We start from the raw sequence: 21,865 nt of genomic DNA, 5'->3' as shown, positions 1-21,865 counted from the left end.
GAGGAACAAGCACGTGCCGTGTGCCTGCAACGTGTCAGAAGCGTCACATCCGCAGCTCAAGTCCTCCTCCCCACACCCTGTGAATGGGGAGAGCCTCGCCATTTTGTAGATGGTCAGAGAGGTGAGTCACTCATCCAAGGTCACACAGCAGAGGCTGAACCCAGCCCCACACTGTGCAGCTCTTCCCCTGCCCAAAGCTCCTCCAGCTCCTGAGGCTGAACCAGGGCAATGGTTTGGGCACAGAACAGAAGAGTTGTGTCTGATGCCACTTTGGGGCAAGATGTTGGGGGCAATTGCCTCCAGTCCTACCCAGACAAAGCCACTCTCTGAATAACATGATGGCCCTTGGATGATTGTTAAAATCTGGGACCCTGGGCCACCCTTTGCCCCTAGATGCCAGGCAAGTCAAATCAAAATTGAAGGTGTGTGTTGTGGGAGGTGGGATGGGGGTTGCCGCTCTGCATGAACCCGAGCCCACCTTCATCTTGGCCACCCTGACCTGTTGACTCTGCACAGCACCAGAACTGGCTGCCCTGTCAACATCCGGATCCCCAGTGTCTGGTCTGGGGCAGCTGCTGGCTACTGTCCCACAGCCGGCACTGCATGTCCACATCCACCCTCACCCCCCAGCCCTGTGTGCCCCAGGAGGCTGAGAAGAGGGCAGCCAGGGGGCGCAGGACCCAATGCAGGTCCCTCCCAAACCCACTGCCTCCACATCAGCCCTAATTTCTCCCCTTCCATATTAGTCGCCTGGCAGCAGTAGCGGGGGCTCAGTAGAGAGACAGCAGGGGAGAACCCAGGGCGGCTCTGTGACCCTAACACCATCACCATCCGGAGCCTCTGTTTTCCTCCTCTGTCAAATGAGCTGAGCCTGAGACCTGGGTCTCTGTCTCATGACAGTGGGGGTCGGGTGCCCAGGACCTGCACAGCCCCCTCGCCTCAGAGCAGCTGAGGACGGGATGGGGGACAGGGCACGCTGAAAGAGACAGGGCAGGTATGGGTGGGAGCGGGGCGGTACAGAGAACCCACATTCAGAGGTCACTGAGTCCCCACACTACTTTGCATCCTGGCAGGTGACATGAAGCAGGGTCCCCTGCCCTGCTTTTATTCCAATGGTTACACCCCCACTGCCAGGTGCCTAGGAGGGGAGGGAGGCTCTGGTTATTCCTGGCTTCCCAGAGGAACTGTGGGGACAGCTGGGGAGCTAGCAGACCCCCCATCTCCCACCCCTTCCCAAGACAGAGGCCTTACCAGCTCACCCCCACAGCCCCTTCCCATGCCTTACCTGGTCCCACTGTCTTCAGTGAGAGGGGAAGGGAGTTTGAAGAGTGAGGAGTGCTGGGGGTTCCTTAGGAACACCAGGCTCCCAGAGTCTGAGGGTGGCTCCAGAAACCCCAAAGGTTCTAGGCAGTCTCTGGCTGGGCCCAGCTCCAGGTGGAGGGGATCTGAGTGTTTCCTCAGTGACCAGGTCCCTTCCCCTTCACTTGGCCACTCCATGCCGGGTGCCTTGGGGTGCCAGCCTAGGTGTACTGGCCTGTGGGCTGAGGACCCACCAAGCACGGGACAGAGGTCGGGGAGGAAGAGACGCCTGCTAAGGTCATCCCGAGAGGCTGGGGCTGACACAGACTTCTGCACATCCAATGAGAAGGGAGCAGAGGAACGCTGGAGGGAAACAGTGGTCATGACAAGGATCTGAAAAGACAGGAGATGCGGAGCCAGGCACAGTGCCTGTAATCCCAGCGCTTTGGGAGGCCCAGGCCAGCAGATCACCTGAGGCCAGGAGCTCGAGACCAGCCTGGCCAACTTGGCGAAGCCCTGTCTCTACCATAAATACAAAAATTAGCTGGGTAAGGTGGCGCACACCTGTAATCCCAGCTACTTGGGAGACTGAGGCAGGAGAATCGCTTGAACCCGGGAGGCAGAGGTTGCAGTGAGCTGAGATCGTGCCACTGTACTCCAGCCTGGGTGTGATTCTGTCTCAAAAAAAGAACAAAACAAAAAGATAAAAAAAAAAAAAGAAGATGCTTGGGCTGCTGGGGTGCTGACGGCCCGACCCAGTGGTAAGGGGACAGAGGGGAGACACTGCAGGACAAAGTCCCGAGCCCAAGAGACATGGCAGTACGTGCGATGCTGGCGGGATGCTTCCGGGCTGATGGAGCAGAGATGGCACGGTCATGCCGCAGCAGAGAGAGCAAGGCCCCCCGGGGGAGGGCAGGGATGGGAGCCAGTCCGGGATGGACGGGCGAGAAGGTCTTAAGTGCAGCAGGAAAAGCTCTTTGTTGGAGAAGGAGGTGATGTGAGCAAAGGCTCAGGCAGGGTGGTGATTTGGGGTGGAAAGAATTGAAAAAAGAAAAAAAGAATTCTCAGTCTAGATAGATTTGGAAGATGTCACTCAGGGTCACTAGAGGCCCCAAATTCTGGTGCATAATTTCCGCCCTTGCTCCAGGGTCTGTGGCATGAACCCACTGGATGATATAATTACCTTCTCTCCAGTGGCACACCCCTCCTGCTAAGCACTGCACTCAGCTCTTCTCAGCCTCCGTTATGTTATTTAGTCCTCACCACAACTCGTGAGGTGAATGACATTGTCGCCATTTTGCAGAGGAAGAGACGTGTTCGGAGCTGTTAGGAATAGTCTAGGGACACCAGCTGGGAAATGGCAAAGTCAGAGCCCACACCCAAGCCTGCTCTATAAGCGGCACCTGCTGCCTCTCCTCCCAGCACCACTGTTGCCCCCACCTTCTTCCTCTGCATGCCGGGGGACACCAGAGCATGACCCATGAGAGGGCAGACCCCGACCTCACGGAGCACCAGAAGGCTGACCCCCACCCTCACCCAGGGCCCCAGGACTCGGGCCATCTGCCGGCACAGCGTGCCAGGCCCTGCCTGATCCTCTCTCTCCTCTTGTTTTAGGACAAACAGATGGATTTCTGTTGGGATCCTTGGCAGGTCAGTGCACTTGTGTGTCCCCATTCTAGCCGGCCCCAGCTGACACCACCACCCCTCTCTCCCCTGTGCCCAGCTCAGGCACACAGTCCCACTAGCCCTAAGACCAGAATCTGATGAAACAGTGGGTGGGGGTTGTCCCGTGGGAGTTAGTAGGATCTCCCTGGCTTTAGCTGCCCTGTCCCTGCCCACTGGCCAGAGGACTTGGTGAGCTGGGAGACGGGGATGGGTGGTGGTGCTGGAGGGATGTCGGCCGGAAGCCTGGCCCACCCTGCTCAATCCTCCTGCCACTTCCTCCAGAGGTGCTTCCAGACCACCAACGGCCACCTGTCCGACTCCAGGTCCTGCCCCGGCAACTACAACGTGGCAGCCCTGGCCACCTCGTTCCTTGTGGGTAGGTTCTGGCCACAACTCTCCTGCCGGTGGAGAATGCACGGTCCCACCCTAGACCCTGGCTGTGGGAAGGGCATGGCTGAGTTGCAGGTGGGAGGATGGCAGCCCTGTTGGATTCTCCATGTTCTAAATGCCAGAGTCCATGCTGGGTTATGCGGGTCACGGGGGGACCAGTGGCTCAGGGTTCTGCTTCCACAGGTTAAACTGCTGGGTTCTCAAGAAGCTCTGAGGGGGTGGGGCAGAGTTTTTCAGATGTCTGTCTGGCATGGTCTCCCTGCCTCTCTGCCAGTCCCATCACCTTAGTTCAGGTTCCCTGGAAGCAGAGCCTGACATGGGCATGACTGTGCAGGTGATTCCCTGGGGAATGGCCCTCAAGAGAAGCCAGCAGGCAGCGGGGGAGGCAGAGGGGCCTTCGGAAGGGGCTCTGCAGGAGTCTAGCTTCACCAAGCTGGTCCCACCACAGCTTGGGAGCATGAATAGTACCCCAGAATTATGGCACACTATGGTGACAGGCTGGACTTTTTAAATTTTATTTTATTTTATTTGTTTATTTCTGAGAGATGGTGTCACTCTGTCACCCAGGCTGGAGTGCAGTGGCACGATCTCGGCTCATCGCAACCTCCGCCTCCCGGGATCAAGCAATTCTCCTGCCTCAGCTGCCCAAGTAGCTGGGATTACAGGTGTGTGCCACTACACCCAGCTAATTTTTGTATTCTTAGTAGAGACAGGGTTTTACCATGTTGACCAGACTGGTCTTGAACTCCTGACCTCAGGTGATCTGCCTGCTTCAGGCTCCCAAAGGGCTGGGATTATAGGCCTGAGCCACAGTGCCCGGCCAGGGGCTGGACTTTATACTCCCCCATTGCTGACTCACTGGCTGCCCCGGGGGAGGAATTTGCAGCCTCCTGGGCATCTCTGGGTGAGGCGGCTCCCATTGGCTCAGGGCGGTTCTGCAGATATGGATATAGGTGTGAGCTCACAGTAGCAGCACCTGAAGCAGATGGGGATGGGCTCGTAGCACAGTACAGGAGGTGCTGGTGATCACCACAGCATCAGGTGGCCCCCCACGGCATCAGGTGGCCCCAGGACGGCCTTCACCTGTCTGTGCATACCCAGCTCTGCTCCATGCCCTGCAGGCTCCACTTCACTACAGCCCACCCAGCTCCCCCGGGACCCCTGGGGCCCTCCCTCCCCACATTGGCCTGTGCCTTTCTTCCACCCACAGCACCTTCCTCCGCTGCACCTACCTTTCAAGGGCCACTTGAACACCCACCTCCTCCAAAACACCTTCTTAGATACCCAACACCCCCCGCTTTAGTGGTTGGGAGCGAGATTCTCCCCTTTCTTCCACACACCCATCTTTCCCATTTTCCCAGCTCTCTAATTTCCTTTGTGGATACCTCGTCTTTCTTCTCATTCTGTCACCCAGGCTGGAGTACAGTGGTGCGATCTTGGCTCACTGCAACCTTCGCCTCCCGGGATCAAGCGATTCTCCTGCCTCAGCCTCCTAAGCAGCTGGGATTACAGGCCACCATGCCCAGCTAGTGTGTGTGTGTGTGTGTGTGTGTGTGTGTGTGTGTGTGTGTGTGTGTGTGTGTGTGTGTGTGTGTGTTTAATAGAGACAGGATGACAGGATTTCACCACGTTGGCCAGGCTGGTCTCAAACTCCTGACCTCAAGTGATCTTCCTGCCTTGGCTTCCCAAAGTGCTGGGATTACAGGCGTGAGTTACCACACCCAGACTTGTCTTTCTTAAATATCGCCATTCCTCACATCATGGCTTCGGAGACTAGGGTGACTCCCAGATCTGTGTTGGCAGACTTGGCTAATGACAATCCTGAACCATTGCTGACAGCCCCTCCATCTTCCACATCCAACTCCTCTCCTCCCAAAGCCCCCGACCTCTCCTCTCTGTCTGCCCAGCCCTTGCCTTGTCTGTTGCTGGGTCCCTGCAGTAACCCCAAATCTTCCAATTGGGGCACTCTTCCTAAACAGCTGTGCCAATTGGTCACTCTCTTGCTCATTACCCTGCTGGGGCTCCCCACTGCGCAAGGAGAACATCTGAGCCCCCCACCTGGTTCTCTCCAACCATGCTCTGGCCCTGATCTGCTCCCAGCTTCTCCTGTCTCCCAGTCCTAGTGTGGACCCCATGTCTCATCCCAGCTAATCCTGGACTCATGCCAGATTCTTCCATGCCTTCATCCTCTTCTCATCTTTGAAATGAAACCTCCAGTCTTGCCTCTATCTGTCCAAACCCAACCCACCTTCAAATTCCAATCCCAGGTCCCCTCTTCCAGAAGCCTTCCCTGCCTGCTCCACCCACCCAGATCTCACCTCCAGCAGAGCTGGCACAGCCACAGAGATGCTCTCTCAGAATGTGTTTAATGGATCATGGAGAAAGCTGGGGGCTCATGAGTGGTCCTTGGGTGGCTCTCCTTGGATGGAAGGGTCTGAACTTGGTCAGAAAGGGAGTGAGGGGTGTGGCCGATCTGGGGAAGAAGCACCCAGTGGGCGGGAACATGGACTGGGAGTAGGATGCTGGGAGGAAATGCGGATGCCAGTGGGTGGGGGCATTGAGGGGAGGGGGCCACAGAGCTCAGAGGGCTCAGGGCAGGAGTGAGCAGGAGGCTTTGGAAGGTGTGAGGAGTTAGATGGGTACAGGCCCCTGGGGAGGTGTGGGGCACTGATGGAGATCATGGTGCACTGAGGGAATGTGGGGTACAGGCCACTGGGTGGGCCTGAGGCATGGGGGCCAGGCCCTGCGCTGAGCCTTGTGTCAGGACAGTCACCCAGATGCCCTCCATGCCCCAGGGGTGGTGCAGAGCATCAAGGACCACATCACAAAGCCCACGGCCATGGCCCGAGGCCGCGTGGCCCACCTCATCGAGTGGAAGGGCTGGAGTGCCCAGCGGGCAGGCTGGGAGCTGTCCCCAGCTGAGGACGAGCATTACTGCTGCCTCCGGATAAGCTCAGTGAGGCCCGCTTTGCTGCAGGTCAGCGAGGAGGGGGACTGGCCAGGGCTCTGTGGGGGTGAAGCTGGGTCCTTGGGGGGCCCAGGTCACTGCATGGGCATTGTCTGGGCAGGAAAAAATAATGGCATAGGGTGGGTGGGTATTAAGTGAGCACTCTTGACCACTGGGGTGTGGATTGGCAGCCCAGAGAGGTGGCCACCCTCCCGCCTGTCCTGGAGCAGCTCCATCAGGCACTGAGGCCGTCCCCACCCATGCCCCCCTGAGCTGGATCTCGCTGTTCCCCCAGGGGTCGCCGAGCAGTTTGCCATCACAGAGGCCACACTGAGCGCTTGGTCCTCGCTGGACGAAGAGGAGCTGCACCCCGAGAACAGCCCCCAGGGCATCGTCCAGCTCCAAGGTACAGCCCAGGGGGTCCGGGGGGAGGGGGCAGAGTGGAGGTGACGCTAGATGCCTGTCCATCACCAAATGCAGTGTGACCTCGGCCAAGCCCCTTCCTTTTCTCAGCCCGAGTTTCTTCATCTGCAAAATGGGGCAGTGATCCTTGCCTTGCCCATTGCCCGGCAGTGGCAGGAGCAGGAAGGAGAGAGTGAGCACAGTGGGGGCGGGAATCGAGCGCTTACCACACCGAGGGCTGTGCACGAGCACCTCACAGAATCCTCACAGCAGCCCTAGGGAGTGGGTCCTGTTGTCCCCATTTTACAAATAAGGAAACAGAGGCACTCAGACGTTCAGAAACTTACTCCAAATGACAGCTAGAAGCGTCAGAGCCGGATCTGAAACTTAGCACCAGGCACGAGCAACCACCTTTCTAGAAGCCCAGGTTACTACTGAGGGCTTCAAGGAGCCTTGGCCCTGGGGGAAGCCTGCACTTAGTCCTCCTGCCCCAAGAGGGACGGGGAGGGGACAGAGGCCCAGAGCAGCACTGGCTGTCCCAGTTCTCAGAGAGCACAGGCTGGCTCCAAGCCCACTCTTAACTCCTCCGTTTACTGCCTGGAGGAGGAACCTGGGACTCAGAGAGTTTTGGTGACTTGACCAAGGTCACAAGGCTCGGCAGTCACACAGCTGGATTTGGAGGCAGGTCTTCTGCCCCTTGCCCTTTCTCACACCCCCAGAGAGGGAGGGCGAGGAGCTGGATCCGGGACGCCATTCCCCCATCACCCCCTTGCTTTTCCAGATCTGGAGAGCATCTACCTTCAGGACAGCCTTCCCAGCGGCCCCTCACAGGATGACAGCCTTCAGGCCTTCTCCTCGCTCAGCCCCTCCCCTGACAGCTGTCCCTCACCTGAGGAGCCCCCCAGCACCGCTGGCATCCCGCAGCCCCCCAGCCCAGAGCTGCAGCATCGGCGGCGGCTGCCCGGGGCCCAAGGACCCGAGGGTGGAACCCACCCCCTGGGCTCCCTCCCCTCCATGGACAGCGGCTCCCTCTGGGAGGAGGACGAGGTGTTCTATAACTGAGGTGGGGGCTGTGCTGGTCCAGCACCTGCTCTCACCATGACCTCGCCTGGTGGGCAGCCCAGGCATATCTGGACCCCGGGGTCCAGGGGAGGGCATCTCTTGACCCTTCGGGTAGGCACAGGGTAGGTGCGGCAGGGATGGGGCCAGTGCTCATGGTGGCCTCTCTGTGCCTCGGTGGACCTGCCCCAGCAGTGGGAGCCATAACCCCCTCCCCCTTCATTACTTCACTCAGGTGGGCACCTTCCCCTGCAGGGTGTCTGCCCTCAGGGAACTCAAGGACTCTCAGAGACACCAGGGCAGCCTGGCCCAGAGGAGCAACAGCCAGGCCCCCAGGAGGACAGCCATGGAGAGAATTGAGACCCACTTACAGTGGGGTCTGGGAACCCTGCCTTTACCTGGGGTTCAGTCCCTCCCCACTCTCTCTGTGTATCTGCCCCCCAGCAAAGGTGGGGTGACCACTTCTGGTAGCTAAGCACCTGCTCCCCGGCTCTCTTCACCCAGGACATCTGTCTCTCTGGAGTGTCTGTCTGTCTGTCCCTCCCTCTCTGAACCTGCTTCCTCCGTGTCCCCTGCTCCTCACCCCTGGGAGCCCACTCCCCCTCCTTGCAGCTCCCTCCCATCTCACTCAAGTTTCTTTGAGGACATTAAAGTGGTGGATTCACCCTGGATGACCTTGGCCTGGTCTCTGCTGGGGAAGATGTGACCTTGGGCCCCTGGACAGAGTCCGGAGGGAGTCAGGGGGGATCCTTAACCCCAACACATACACAGCCGGTCAACCTGGGCCACCCAGGCATAGAAGGCTCATGGAGGATGCCCAGGGCTCTGTGGACTCCAGAAGGAGCCACACTTCGGTCCTGGCTTTATGAGCTGTGGCCCAGCCAAGCAGGAGACTAGGGTTTGAGTGACACAGTATCCCACTTATTCATGAGGACAAGCATCATAGACCTGGTGGGAGAACCTCTCTCCCTATCATCTCCCTGCCAAGAAATGGAGCATGAGGAGGAGCCCAGGGGCCCGAGCCTGCAGTGCCCACGTGACCACGGGAAACTCACTCTGGGCCAGCGCAGGTAAGGAGCTCCAGTCCCAGACCAGCAACCTTGCAGCTGAGATGAGGGATGGACAGCAGCTCTGGGAACCAGCTTTATTTTTCTCAGGAGCCTCTCACTGGGAACCAGACAACCCCAGAGGGCATCTTTGCCTGCCCTTGGTGACAGTGTACTCCAATCTCGTCATTCATTAATGTGATGGCCAGTCACTGAGCACCTGGCAGATACTGGTTTTCCATCTTCTCACACTCAGCTCTGCCCAAGGTGGGATTTTTGTCTTTCAAGGCAGGAGCCATCGTCCCACCCAGGATGAGCCATCCTCTTCTGGGCTAGGTTAGAGTTGCCTGTTATGCCAAAGAATGGAGCTGGGCTGGAGGGAGGGGCAGGTGGTGATGGGGGAAGAGAAGCAGGGTCTCAGCCCAACCTCAGTACCAGGTCAGCTGGGGTGCCCTGTTTCATCTTGCTGGGCCGGCTCACTTTGGAGCTGGCGGATTTGTCAGGTTGGAAATTGCTTTCTTCATCTAGAACAGAGAAAGGGGGTGGAGGTGGGGGGGGATGTAGAGGAGGTTGTGAGGGGGGCTCCAGCATTTTTAGTCCCCTAAGGTTCATTTCCAGGCTGAATAGTAGAGCCTGTGCCACCCCATTGCACAGATGGGATCACTGAGGCCGAGAAGGGCAGGCTGGCCACTGGCCAGAAAACAAGGTAGGGGAGCCAGGCCCAGTGGCCAATCTGGGCCAGAAAGAGGGACTCATAAGTATCCTCTGAATCCCCCCAGGTTTGGATGGGAGCATGCTGGTGTCCCCCCACCTCCCCATCTCCCCAGCCTTCTCAGGCATGGGTCCCCTGCTTTGCTCTGCCCCCGGGACCCTGGTACCTCCACCCAGGACACGCAGCCCACAGCTCTGCCCCGCGATGTCACGAAGAGGGACTGAAGGTTCAACAGCTTAAAGAGGTTTTGTGCCTGGATGGGGGATTGTTAGGAAACACTGGAGGGTAGATGGCGCCCAGCCCACCCTCTGGCCCACTCTGCCACGCCTCTGAGCCAGGAAGAGGGGCGGGGCCTGATATGTGTGGGAGGCAACAGACCCAGGCCTGCAATGTCCAGTGTGGGCCACTGGGGGATGCCAGAGGCCACTCAAGGGTCTGGGCGGGGCTGCAAGTGGACAGGACCCAACATCCAGCACCCTCCAGCAGCACAGAGGGGGCGGGGCCATCTCCAGGTCCCCTGTCAGCCTCCGCCCTTGCCCCATCCTTGTGTCAGGCTCTGTCTCAACTGGCTACATAATTTGTCCAAGATCACACAGGCAAAATGGGGTGGACCTGAAATTGAAACGCACGTGTGCCTTGGTGCAACTCCACTGTCTTTCTCCACCCAGAGACTTCCATTTGCCAAGCCCCCCAATTCCCTCATCTCTCTGCATCATCCCCGCAACCCTGGCAGTGAGGGGCGACGGCAGGAGCTGCCCTGTCCAGGCCCAGGAGGAGCAGGAAGCAGGATAAGATGGGCGGGGCGGGGTTGGGACGGGAGGCTGGAGCCTGAGCTCCTCATCAGCTCTTGCCCTGCCCCGGGGGCTGCGTGTGTCACACTCCCCAATACTTGTTACCTGGTGCAAGGTGGTCTCTGAGAATAGCGTCAGGGTCACTGGTTCCGTGGGGCAGCCCCTGGCCAAGATGTCCTGGAGACACTGCTGGGAGTGGGGAAGAGTTATGGGTGCAGGGCCGGCCTCCCCAGGATGCCTCTCTCAGACCACCTCTCCCTCAGGAGATCAGCGGGTCCCTCCCCTCCCATCCCTGCTGACCCACCCCCGCCCCATCCCCACGCCCCTCAGGAGTAACCACCTGGTGTCCTGGAGCCCTGGAAGGAGGCTCAGCCTGGAGGGCCTGCACCAGCTGGGCCCTCTGCACGATGCCTACCAGGATCTGGGACTCTGGCAAGTAGAGAGGGAGAGGGAGGGAGGTGCATTATGAAGAAACAGGCCTGAGGGCCAAGCTTCCGGAAGACCTTGGTGGTGTCCCCATGCTCCTACCCCAGCAGCTGCCCAGGGACTGCCTTACAAGCACCCAGCCGACTCTCTTTAGACATGTCAACCACCCCAAGGGAGGGTAGCCATGATTTCCATTTTGCTGATGAGGAAACTGAGGCTCAGGTGAAGTGACTTGCTCAAGGTCACACGGTTGGTTGCTAAGTCACAGAGCCTGGATGCAGATCCTGTCTGCCTGACAGGTTCAAGAAGGAGGCAGAGGGCATCCCCTACCCCCGACTTCCTCCTCCCTTCCAGCTGGGCACCTGTGCTCTCCACCAGGGGATACTCGGTCACGTCTGTGGAGGTCACAACCTTGACCACCTCCTCCAGCGGCGTGTCCTTGGCCAGTGTGGTGATGCTGTGGTTCATGAAGTGCTCCACCCTCACATGGTGGGAGCTGCAGGCAGAGGGGCTCCCATCAGGTCCCGGAGTCGGGGATGTCAGACCCAGGCCAGCAAGGGGATCTGAGGGGAGCTTTGCTTGAACCAGGGACCCACGGCTCTGGAGTGTGAGCAGGGCTGGAGAGGTTCCTGGAATGAGGGACTCCTAGAACCCACAGTGGGAGGAAACCTGGGGACCACATTACTGATGGCCCAGTTCCAAATCCCCAACCCCCTGGTCCCCCATGTCCCCCAGACCAGCTTCACTTGGGTCTTGTCCCACCTTGGACAGAGCTGAGTGTGAGATGACGGAAAACCAGTATCTGCCAGGTGGTCAGTGACTGGCCATCCATTAATGAATAATGAGATTGGAGTACAGACCCAGCAGCCTTCCCTGGATAATTCCATTTGATTATAAAAGTGTATGTCACCCCCAAGGAAAAACTTGGAAGGTTGAAAATCACTGGTATAAACAGCCCCATTTTCCCGATGGGGAAACAGGTTCAGAGCAAGGCAGCAGCTTGTTTGTGTTTGGAGCGGGGCCTCCGATTCGGACTCTCAGAGCCTCTTTGGTCTGCTTTTCTGGCGCCAGAAGCTGCTCTGGTCCTATCTGGTTGAGTGAGGACTTCAAAGCCCATTTCCATTCTCGTTCCACCTCCTGCTCCCAAAGTCCCAGCAAGGACAGCAGGAGTGGGGAGAGGGGAGGAGACCTCTCGGATCTGGTGCTGACTCTCTGTGTCACCTGGAGCAAGACACGGCACCTCTCTGAGCTCTGGTTTCCTCAATCTGTACACGGGGCAATACTCATCCTCCTGCTGTGAAGCCCAGCTGACCCCTAGACAGACACTGAGGCCTCAAGGCCAAGGACTTGCCCAAGGTCACCCAGGGCACTGGGGAGAGTGGAGATGAGAGCACAGCTGTGTGTCAGCCCCTCCCAGCCCCCATGTCGGAGGTCAGCTGCGGTGGTGTTTCTTTTTGGAGGTGCCCTCCACCCCCAGCCAAGCCCAAACACTGTGACCCCCTTCAGTCAGCCTGAGGTGGGCACCACTCACCCGATGTTGCGGCCCAGAATCCGTGGCAGGTATGGCAGCTTCTTGACAATGATGGTGCCATCATAGAAGGAGGGCTGGCAGCTCTGTGCAATGGCGTTGGCTGCCAGCACCGCCATCAGCACGGGCAGTGCATGCACTATCTGGCCGGTCAGCTCAAAGGCCAGCAGCGCCGTGGAGATGGTGTGGGTCACAGCCCCTGAGAAGGCTGCAGCCCCTGCCGGGGCAGAGCCACACAGGTCGGCTCAGGCCAGGAGGCAGGGGCCAGCCTGATGTGAGGGAATAACTAGCCTGGCTGCTGCCGGGGGCTAGGGTGGGAATTGTAAGAGGCCACAGCCTGGGCACTGTGGGAAGTGCCCCAAGGCCTGGGCTTGGTGAGAGGAGAGGGATAAGGGAGGCCGCAGGGCTGGGGACAGGAGCCACGAGGAAGTGATGGGCCCCGGGGAATGGTGGGGCTCAGGAGGGACAGACCCCCATGAGGGGTAGGGGGTTCACTGGAGGACTCAGTGACTGCTCCGTGCCCTGGGGAACCACCAGCCAATTCTCCAGGTCCAGCCCAGCCCCACGACATTGCCCACCCAGCAGGGCCGTGACCCACTCACCTGCCAGAGCATACCCCCCGGGCATGATGGGATTGGTAACCCCTCCAGTCACAATGCCCTCAGGGAAGGCGACGGCAAGAGCCTCTCCCAAGAGGCGCCCGATGGCAGCTCCTGGCCACAGACTTAGGGTGAGGGGGAGCCAGGCTGACCCGGCCCCCACAGCCCTCCATCCCTGAGGACCATCCTTAGTACCACCCGGGAAGAGGGTGAACCAGGATGCATGGCCCTGCCCCAAGAACCCCAAAACTCTCAGAACCTCAGGACCCCAGACTCACCAAGGATAAAGATGGGCATGAAGTACCCGGCAGGCATGGGGATGGTGGTGGCCAGAATCAGCATCCAGAACTGCAGGAAGGGGGAGCCCAGGGCAGAGGTTAGAGGCCGCTGGGCAAGGTGTGGACAAGAGAAGACAGGACAGGGGACAGGGGAGTGTCCTAGATAGAAAGAGGGTGCCAGCCATGCACCCACTGCCAGAGTCTGGCATTAGGGGAGGGTCCTCACCCTGAGAAATGCCCACTGTATGCCTGGCACTGTGCCAGGTACATTCCTTTCTTCCTTCTCTGCCTTCCCAGTAACCACCCCATTTTAAAGATGGGAAGACTGAGGTCCAGAGACCTGAAGCCACTTATCCAGGACCATGCAGTGGGCAGGGGGCACAGAAGGAAGTGTGGGTGAGAGGCCTGGGCTCCATGCCACCAGGTGCAGGGAGGCACCCCCGCCCCTCCCCACCAGAGCTGGTCCTGGCTCTGTGCACACCTGGGGGTCAGGGGGCCCACCTTCATAACCAGGAAGAAGGCAAGGGTCCCAAAGATGGTGAACCGCGGGTGGTACCATTCCCACCAAAGGTGCTGGGGGTCGAGCTCCTCGGGCCAGGGTGGGCTGGAGTTCTGGGTCATCAGCGCCCAGGAGTGGTTGTCGAACAGCGAGTCCAGATGCTGCTTCATGGACAGCTGTGGCGGGGCAGGTGGGAACTGGACATGAGGGGCCCCCCCCAGCGGCAGACCCCAGCCTCCCCCGCACCGCCTGACCCCGCCTGGAATCCTCCCCTGCCACTTCCCAGCGGGGGGCCTTGGGCAGGGCTCTGACCTCCCAGAGCCATGGTCTCCTTATCTGCAGAATGATGCCCAGGTGTCACCCTGGTGGGGTGCTGAGGGTATTACGTGAGACACATGCAAAGGGGAAAACAAATGGGGGTTCCCACTCCTGCCACCCCCGCTCAGGACCCCTTACCCGAGAAGCTAGGAAGTGGCCCACACCAGGCGGGTAGGTGATGGAGGCGAGAAGCAAGGTGGCCAGAGCGGAGTACACAGGCTTGCTGTGGGGGGTGGGTGAGCTCTAGGGCTGGCCCTCCCTTTCCTACATCCCGAGGAGAGGGAAGTAGGACCTGGTCCAGGCAGCAGCAGAGCTCCCCACCTGGGGGCTGATACCGAGGCAAGGACTGGTGAGGAGGAAGGGCGGGAGCAGGGAACATGGCCCCCTCCAGCGGGTAGAACCCGTGGGGTGAGCCCCTCAACTGGGTATGACTGAGGGCAGAGGAATCACGCAGGAGATTGAGAGGAGAATTGGGGCAGAGGCAGGCTAGGAGGGAGGAGACAGTGGGCCGGGCCGGGGCGGGCCATGTGCATCTCCGGGGCAGGAGGGCTGGCCAATGCCAAGGCCAACGCCAGGGGCCACACAAGGTTTGAAGGGGCACAGGGTTTGAGGCTCAGTGAGGGGGTGGGGTTTCGCTGAGAGATTGTAGAATGAAGGAGGGATGGGGGTTCAATGTGGGGTTCGTAGCCCAGTAAGGAAGGGGGGACAGTGACTGTGGGGACTTGGAGAGGGTTGTTAGATGCTCCACGGGCTAGGGAGGGATTTAGGGGCTCAGTGGGAGGATGGGGGTGGGGCTTTCTACATAAGGTCTGGAGTCCACAAGGGACTCACTGAGATGTCCCCAGCCCCTAGCCCAGAGCCTACCTAGTAGCCAGCAGTTTGGAGCTGTACCGATTGGTCTTGATGAAGCTGAGGAAGGTTCGCTGACAGAAGAGGTAAGCACAGCTCAGGACGCCGCAGATGCCACTGCGGGGTGAAGGGAGGTAAGACCAGAGCCTGACCCCAGTACCAGGGGCCGCAGTCCAGGCCTTGGGGGGAATGCCTTTTGGACTCTCAGGGGCCCAAGGCACCCACTCACCCCAGCGCCACAAAAAAGAAGATCTCAGGCAGGTCGAAGGGAACGTCCACCCGGAAACTGGTCTTGTAGAGGGAGGTGATGGTCTCTGGGGAAGGAGGGCAGTGGGGAGCCAAGATGGCGCTCCCACCCGACCCAAACTCAAGTCCCAGACTAACAGCCCAGGGTGGAGGGGGTGCCAGGTCCTGACTCGGAATCTGTGTCCTGGCATTCCAGGCCCCCACAACCAGGCTCTTGCCTCCCTGCCCAGCCTCATCCCTTCTACCCTCAGGGCCCCTTGCCCCTCAACACAGGTCAGGGGCTCAACACAGGTCAGCCCCTTCCATCCTCCCTGAAGGAGGTGGGAACACGGAGGAGGGAAAAGAGGGAGAGAGAGGGAAGGGAAGAGCAAGAGATGTACACAGAGGAGAAGGGAGGTCTCCCTCGCCCCGGCCCCCAGGCAGGGCCAGGGTCAGGCAGCCCAGGGGGCTCACCCTGCTCGCTGTTGAAGACTGCCAGGAGCCGGAATATGAAGGCCCCGCAGGTGGCCGCAAAGAAGCCCCTCCAGTAATCCCGGACAGAGAAGTGGGAAGACATGACCTCGATGCTGAACAGGACGCCTGGGGGCGACACTGATGTCAGGTGGGCCCCCACCCCCACCCACCTGTGGCTGTAGGGCCCCCTCCCCCATCTCGCCTCCTCCCTGAGCCATCTGTCCTGCTGTCCTACAGCCCGGACAGGGACAGACAGAAGGGGAGGGCAGGGCTTGCGCCCTGGGCGGGGAGGACCCCGCTGCCCAGGGATCCATCCAGCCTGGAATGCAGGTGTGCGCCCTCTCCCTATCGGGTGGGAACGGTTTGATCCCCATTTTACAGAGGAGGAAGCTGCGCTCAGAGAGGCCAAGGGGCCAGTGGATTTCAAACCCAAGTCTGTGTAATGTTATCCTGAAGCCTCTCAGCACCGCCCAACCACGCCCCCAACCACCCGCCCCGCCCCGCCGCCCCCGGGGGGTGGCTATACCCAAAGCGGGGCTGAAGTGAGAACAAGAATGAGCCCCATCCCCTCCTCCAGGCTCTCAGCTGGGCCGAGGGAGCCCAGGGTGTGAGGGGAGGAGCTTGAGGGACCCAGGGGGCGGGGCATGAGGGGGGTCTCACCGCTGAAGGGAGCTGCAAAGACTGTGGCCACGCCCACTGCCGCCGCTGCCACCAGCATTTCGTTTTGCTTGCTCTTGTTCTGGGGGATCCGAGTCCAGGGCTCAGAGTCAGCCCCCTCCCTCCCCACTCCCATTTCTCCAAGGAAGCCCCCGAGTCCCTAACCTCAGGCTCCCCGATGGTCGTGGTGCGCACACGGCCCAGGTAGGCAGCGATCATTACAGACAGGTGCACGAAAGGGCCCTGCAGAGGGAAGGGTGGGCCCAGGTGAGGGCAGCAGAGACAGTCTCACCCCGAGGCAGCACGGCTTCCCCACCACACCCCCTCCTCCATCTCCCCAACCCCCAGGGCTGTCCTCAGGTAGCTTTTGTCACACTGGGGACCTGGCCTGGCTCTTCCCCTAAGACTGAGCTCCCTGAAGGCAGGCACTGGCCTGAGTCTGCTCTGACCCAGCTTTGGTGGGGTATGGGGGAGAGCTGGGGCAGGGTAGGGTGGGCGGGGTGGCTGGGGTGCCCTCACACCTGACCATACCACTTTGCCCAGGAACAGGGTGCTGCCGGTGGCCAGGGTGCAGGAGAGGCCCACCACCTTGGCCCCAAAGTTCTTGATATCCAGGTAGTCCTCCAAGATCACACCCGCCAACATGGTCTTCAGCTCCGGGATTCCAGAACCTTAGCCAGACAGGACAGGAACAAGCAGGGGACAATCTCTAGATTAAAACTCTCTGCCAGGCGCAGTGGCTCACGCCTGTAATCCCAGCACTTTGGGAGGCCGAGGCAGGCGGATCGCGAGGTCAGGAGTTCGAGACCAGCCTTGCCAACATGGTGAAACCCCATCTCTACTAAAGATACAAAAAATTAGCCGGGCATGGTGGCGGGTGCCTGCAGTCCCAGCTACTTGGGAGGCTGAGGCAGGAGAATTGCTTGAACCTGGGAGGCAGAGGTTGCAGTGAGCCAAGATTGTGCCATTGCACTCCACCTTGGGCAACAAGAGTGAAACTCCATCTCAAAAACAAACGAACAAACAAACAAAAAAAACTCTCATAACTCTACCCGCACGGTGTTTTCACATTATGATTTTTTTTTTTCCTTTGAGACAGGGTATCACCCTATTGTCCAGGCTGGAATGCAGTGGTTCGATCTCGGCTCATTATAACCCCGACTTCCTCAGGCTCAAAAGTGATCCTCCCACCTCAGCCTTCCAAGTAGCTGGGACTACAGGCAGGCACCACCACACCTGGCTAACTTTTTGTTGTGGTGGTTGTTTTTTATTTTTTGTAGAGATGGGGTTTCACCATGTTGTCCAAGCTGCTCTTGAACACCTGGGATCAAGTGATCCACCCACCTCCCAAAGTGCTGGGATTATAGACTGAGTCACTGCACCTAGTCCTATTATGATCACGCAGAACCCTCAGAGGTTAGGATGCATAAACTCATTTTGCAGATTTGGATGCTAGAGTCAGAGAGGAATGCGAGTTGTCCACGTTCCTCCCACTGGGACTGGCAGATGGCTGTGTCAGGATGGGGGAGCTCTGAACAGAACCTCAGGCCACCACTGAGTGAGCCTGGAGCTCCCCTCTGCTGGCCTGGAGCTGGAGGAAGGGCTGAGTGGCCTGAGGGAGCGGCACCTCCTCCATGGGCCCCTTCCTGGCACCAGCACAGGCCCCACAGGGCAATCTCCTTCCAAGGAGCCCTTGGAAAGCGAGTAGGGCCAGCAGTGACCCAAGAGTCAAGATCTGGCCTTCTTGCTGTGTGCCTTCAGGCAAGCCACATAACTCTTCTGGGCTTGAGAAATGAGGCTGCAGCTTCCCGATTCCCCCCATCAGAAGCCCCCTGGGATCTGAGAAGGTTTTGGCACTGGGGACTGGCATGGCGACCGTGGACTCACCTCCAGAGGAGGGCGTGATGCTCTGGGAGAAGCCTGAGGAGAAAGAGACGAGGGCCACAGGGTACACAGTCCAGGAAAGATACCGGAGCAGGTGGCTGTCCCCAATCTCCCTGTACAGCCACTGGTGTGCTGGGGACAGCCGCGTATCAGGGAGGCACCCACAGCCTCTGCAGCCCTCAGGGCCAGACACTGTGGTGCCCACTTACTGACCAGGAAATGGAGTCACGAAGAGGGGAGGACCAGGCCACAGAGTGAGGTGCAGACCCCCAAGAAAAGGCAGGAGTACGACCCTGGGTCCATATCCCAGGTTTACCACTGCCTAGCTGAGTGACCTTGGGCAAGCCACTCAGCCTCTCTGAGCCTCAGTTTCCCCATCTGCCAAGTGGGCTAGTGATTGGCTCTTCCTCACAGGCTCATTGAAGACTAAAGACATTAAAGACTAAAGGGCCACTGAGAACTACATGACACAGGTGTGAAGCACCAAACACCGTAACACCATAGTAGGTGCTGCTTCTGGCAGCTGAGGGTCTCCAGAGAAAGTGTCTTAGACCCTTCCTGCCCACACCCCCTCTTCCAGGGAGGCCTCAGGGTGGAGGCAGGCTGCTGAGGGAGCAGGGGGAAGACTCCAAGTTTGGTGATCTAGGCAAGTGTCCCCACTCCTGCCCCAAGGCACGGAGGAGGGAAGGAGAAGGAACGGGGTGGCTGGAAGAGGAGCCAGAGAGCTCAGAGGAGGAAGGGCTCTTGGGAATATTCAGGTCTCTCTTCCTTGTGCGGCTGAGGAGACTGAGGCCCAGAGAGGGGCAGGAGCCTGCCCAGGATCACAGAGCAAATCAGGAGTAGAGCCAGAGCCCTCCCCGCACCCAGGTCCGTCCCTGCACCGCTGCACTTGGTGGCCCATCTGGTATCCCCAGAGCGTGCCTAGAATCCCTTGGCCCAGAGCAGCACCTGCCAGGGAAGAGTTACCTCGGACCACACACCCGATGGCAAAGTTCATGGCATAGCTGACCAGGGCCATGAGCACCCCGAGGGTCATCAGGAAGTACCAGTCTTCTCCCAGGCGGAACACCTTCTGCTTTAGCCACTCCAGGCCACCTGGGGCAGGGTATCGGAGTCCCAGCTTATGTTGGGGCAAGGGGCACAGACAGCCCCTTCCCTGGAGGTCTGCTTGGCTCCAGGCAGGGAGGACCCTGGTAGTTGAGTCTGGGGTAGTCCTGAGGGGGCCCCGCCTGAGTCAGAGAGGAATGCAAGTTGTCCACGTTCCTCGCACTGGGACTGGCAGATGGCTGTGTCAGGATGGAGGAGCCCTGAACAGAACCTCAGGCCACCACTGAGTGAGCCTGGAGCTACCCTCTGCTGGCTTGCCTCACACTGGGGGCTGGGCAGGATTTGTGGCAGGTGACAGTGGTGGCACAGTGGATGCCAGGACTGCTGCCCCTGCCAGAAGGCCTTTGACCTGTCCACTCTCCCCACCCGTGCCTGTACTGGGAGGTTCCTGGGGGACAGGGAGTGTGAAGGGGGCTGGCAGCTATAGCTTTCACCTGTATCCCTGCAGGATCCATAGCTTAGAGAGCACCAGGGTCTAGCAGACTTCTGCGTGTCCCAGGGCCTGTGGCGCCAGGTATCCTCTGGGTCCCCAGCAATGCCCCTGGCCCGCTGGCTGCAGCCCAGCCTGGGAGCTGGCCCTCACTGGCTGTGGGCACCAGCCACTGGCACTGCACTTAGTCTCCTTCTGTGGTCCCTACTTGCTCTGCCCCGTAGCTGAGGGGACAGTCAGGTCTCAAAGTGAACAAGGCACATGGGGCTCCAAGGAAGGGTGCCAAGTGCAGGCTGCCCCAGCCCCTTGCTGTGCCCCCAGCTGTCCCAGCAGCTAACCCCCACGTCCCCTCATTGGCACAGGTAGGTGAGGGAGAGGCCTGGGTGGAAGATAGGCACAGTGACCAGGCCTTGGGCTGTATCTCCTGAAAGGCAGAGGGCAGATGCCTGGCCCATCTGACCCACAGACAGCTGGACAGACAGACCCCTTCCCTCCCTGCCACCCAGGAGACTTTGGGCAGTCATGTCCTGGACAAATGACAGGAGGGTGGTTCCTGGGCAGAGAGGTGGGGTGGGAGCCAGGCAGGAATGATGTCCTGAGTGGTCCCCCGCGGGTAGGGAAGAGGACCTGGCTCTCACCTTGGATGGCTCGGCGGATGTGGGGACAGGGGCCCCACAGCTCCTGCAGAGTCACAGGGTCCCCTGAGAAGCCCTCACGCAGCCCCACCAACTCCTCCATCAGGCCCCTGGAGAAGCAGATGGAGGGAAGGACCCGGGTGAGCTGCTGCACGTCCTCGCGCTGCCTCTGGGCCCTTCCAGTGCTCTCCCCACCCAAATGAAGAGGAAGGATTGTGCGTGTGTGTGTGTGTTATCACACTAGGTCTGTGTGTGCCCTCATCCCTGAGGTTCCGTCACTGAGGGTGTGTGCCTGTGTGTGTCATTTTGTGGGATGAGGGTGGGATTCCTAGGTGTCCCCCTGTGTCCAGCAGCAGACTGTGGACACCGCTCCCACCCTCCTGGGTCGCTTGGTGCTTCCACTACTGGGAGCAGTCTCTGCCCAGGGCTGTGACTCTCTCACTGCAGAGTCCCATGGATGGCTCCGACTCTCCCTGCCAATCTCGGAGCACCCTCCTTTCTCCCCGACAGCTCAGGTCACAGAGGCAGGAAAACCCCAGGACCAGAAGGCCTCTGCAAAGCCAAAGTGAGGTGCTGGCTACTGCCCCTACCATCCCCTATGCCCTGCCTGCCTGGCCCTTCCAGGTTCATACTCCAGTCCACGCCCAGAGACCCCTCACCTGTCAGTCCTCCTGCTGCGGCTGAACTGGCCCTCCTCTCACAGAGCCTCCTTTGCTCCCAGCTCCAGTGCACCTGGACAGGTATATGCTCTACCAATCATCACTCTCTCCCTGCCACCCCCCTTCCCCGCCGGCCGGGGTTTACCATGGAGATTAAAAACGTCCTTGACAAACCAACCAGAACTGTGGAGGCCAGAGCTGTGCAGGGCAGAACTGCCAAGAGAGAAGGGGAGCAGGAGCCTCCCCACCCATCACAGCTGCACAGAGGGTGGTGCCCAGCTGTACTCAGGCTCCTGGGTGCTGCTGGACGAGGGCTGGGAAGGGGGAGCTCATGCACACAGCAGGACAGAGAGGGGTCATCTGCCAAGGCTGAGACTCAGGGTCCAGGGGTCTCAGAGCTGGACATGGAAGGTTTGAAAAAGCACAGAGGGAGAGGGGAGGAGGCTGGGAAGGGAAGGAGAAGGCAGGGGGGCAATGGTGAGTGGGGCCAGCATGACCACAGCCTCCCTGTGTGTCAGGTAGAGAGTCAGCCTTCTCCCAGATTAATTACCCTGAGTGCCCACGGAAATCCCACGAGGCAGGCAGCGTGATCCCGTTGTAGAGAAATGGTGTCTCAGGGAGCTGGGGCTGCCTGTCTAAGATCACGGAGGCCGAGGCAGAGCCAGGATTCCCAGCCCAGGTTTGCCTGGCTCCAAAGCCCGCAGGCTGTGCCACACGGTCCCATCCTGATGACCCATCTTGTCCAGGGCTGGCGAGGAGGCCGACACCTGGGGCAAGGCAGTGAATTGGGGTCAGGAACTCGGACTTGATCCTGTGTCCAGACCCTCCAGGCTCAGGAAATGCTTCTCAAAGCACACGTCCAAGGGCCAGCGGCTCTGGTGGGGACTTCTGGGTAATTCCACAGAGTTTGTCCCACCCCAACAGAGGATGGCAGCACAGGTGTGAGGGGACATGGCGAGGAACAAGCACCTGCCGTGTGCCTGCGA

At 59.6% G+C, this 21,865-nt stretch overlaps 1 protein-coding gene and 1 pseudogene across 3 annotated transcripts, besides 10 other annotated features; one reads left to right on the top strand and one right to left on the bottom strand.

Moving 5' to 3' along the window:
* Positions 2,912-8,433, top strand: FAM131C2P (family with sequence similarity 131 member C2, pseudogene; annotated as a pseudogene).
* Positions 3,817-4,317: an enhancer, noted in NCBI's record as "H3K4me1 hESC enhancer chr1:16365121-16365621 (GRCh37/hg19 assembly coordinates)". NCBI's record gives its function as "activates a minimal SCP1, AML or CMV promoter by ChIP-STARR-seq in naive H9 embryonic stem cells {active_cell/tissue: H9 hESC(naive)}" and the evidence as "EXISTENCE:reporter gene assay evidence [ECO:0000049][PMID:30033119]".
* Positions 6,738-8,892: a non allelic homologous recombination region, noted in NCBI's record as "sub-region c, recombines with sub-region c' within the CLCNKB recombination region". NCBI's record gives the evidence for it as "EXISTENCE:polymerase chain reaction evidence [ECO:0000082][PMID:15044642]".
* Positions 6,738-19,014: a biological region, named in NCBI's record as "CLCNKA recombination region". NCBI's record gives its function as "recombination_partner: LOC106501713".
* Positions 8,893-20,907, bottom strand: CLCNKA (chloride voltage-gated channel Ka). 3 transcript variants are annotated; one of them, NM_004070.4, is made up of 20 exons: positions 20,880-20,907; positions 20,224-20,330; positions 19,015-19,143; positions 18,052-18,180; positions 16,696-16,835; positions 16,330-16,407; positions 16,168-16,246; positions 15,508-15,633; positions 15,038-15,122; positions 14,824-14,925; positions 14,098-14,182; positions 13,644-13,817; positions 13,143-13,212; positions 12,868-12,978; positions 12,269-12,482; positions 11,100-11,233; positions 10,652-10,740; positions 10,417-10,500; positions 9,687-9,773; positions 8,893-9,332 (listed from the first exon to the last, which is right to left on the bottom strand). In NM_004070.4, exons 2-20 carry the CDS (start codon positions 20,321-20,323, stop codon positions 9,285-9,287), a joined length of 2,064 nt encoding a protein of 687 aa, NP_004061.3. In that variant the 5' UTR covers positions 20,324-20,330; positions 20,880-20,907; the 3' UTR covers positions 8,893-9,284. The 3 variants fall into 3 exon arrangements, with proteins under 3 accessions (NP_004061.3, NP_001036169.1, NP_001244068.1); NM_001042704.2 differs by having other exon boundaries at positions 10,417-10,497; NM_001257139.2 differs by lacking the exon at positions 18,052-18,180.
* Positions 9,164-9,970: an enhancer, noted in NCBI's record as "H3K4me1 hESC enhancer chr1:16359468-16360274 (GRCh37/hg19 assembly coordinates)". NCBI's record gives its function as "activates a minimal SCP1, AML or CMV promoter by ChIP-STARR-seq in naive and primed H9 embryonic stem cells {active_cell/tissue: H9 hESC(naive and primed)}" and the evidence as "EXISTENCE:reporter gene assay evidence [ECO:0000049][PMID:30033119]".
* Positions 9,795-9,864: an enhancer, noted in NCBI's record as "active region_258". NCBI's record gives its function as "activates an Ori minimal core promoter by ATAC-STARR-seq in GM12878 lymphoblastoid cells {active_cell/tissue: GM12878}" and the evidence as "EXISTENCE:reporter gene assay evidence [ECO:0000049][PMID:35858748]".
* Positions 9,971-10,778: an enhancer, noted in NCBI's record as "H3K4me1 hESC enhancer chr1:16358660-16359467 (GRCh37/hg19 assembly coordinates)". NCBI's record gives its function as "activates a minimal SCP1, AML or CMV promoter by ChIP-STARR-seq in primed H9 embryonic stem cells {active_cell/tissue: H9 hESC(primed)}" and the evidence as "EXISTENCE:reporter gene assay evidence [ECO:0000049][PMID:30033119]".
* Positions 12,016-12,515: an enhancer, noted in NCBI's record as "H3K4me1 hESC enhancer chr1:16356923-16357422 (GRCh37/hg19 assembly coordinates)". NCBI's record gives its function as "activates a minimal SCP1, AML or CMV promoter by ChIP-STARR-seq in naive and primed H9 embryonic stem cells {active_cell/tissue: H9 hESC(naive and primed)}" and the evidence as "EXISTENCE:reporter gene assay evidence [ECO:0000049][PMID:30033119]".
* Positions 12,979-13,142: a non allelic homologous recombination region, noted in NCBI's record as "sub-region b, recombines with sub-region b' within the CLCNKB recombination region". NCBI's record gives the evidence for it as "EXISTENCE:nucleotide sequencing assay evidence [ECO:0000219][PMID:10906158]".
* Positions 15,993-16,901: an enhancer, noted in NCBI's record as "H3K4me1 hESC enhancer chr1:16352537-16353445 (GRCh37/hg19 assembly coordinates)". NCBI's record gives its function as "activates a minimal SCP1, AML or CMV promoter by ChIP-STARR-seq in naive H9 embryonic stem cells {active_cell/tissue: H9 hESC(naive)}" and the evidence as "EXISTENCE:reporter gene assay evidence [ECO:0000049][PMID:30033119]".
* Positions 18,181-19,014: a non allelic homologous recombination region, noted in NCBI's record as "sub-region a, recombines with sub-region a' within the CLCNKB recombination region". NCBI's record gives the evidence for it as "EXISTENCE:nucleotide sequencing assay evidence [ECO:0000219][PMID:9326936]".

This window comes from Homo sapiens, chromosome 1 (assembly GCF_000001405.40).
Source record: "Homo sapiens chromosome 1, GRCh38.p14 Primary Assembly".
NCBI lineage: Eukaryota > Metazoa > Chordata > Mammalia > Primates > Hominidae > Homo > Homo sapiens.
The sequence above is the reverse complement of the archived record's forward strand: the minus strand, read 5'-3'. Positions and strand labels throughout refer to the sequence as shown.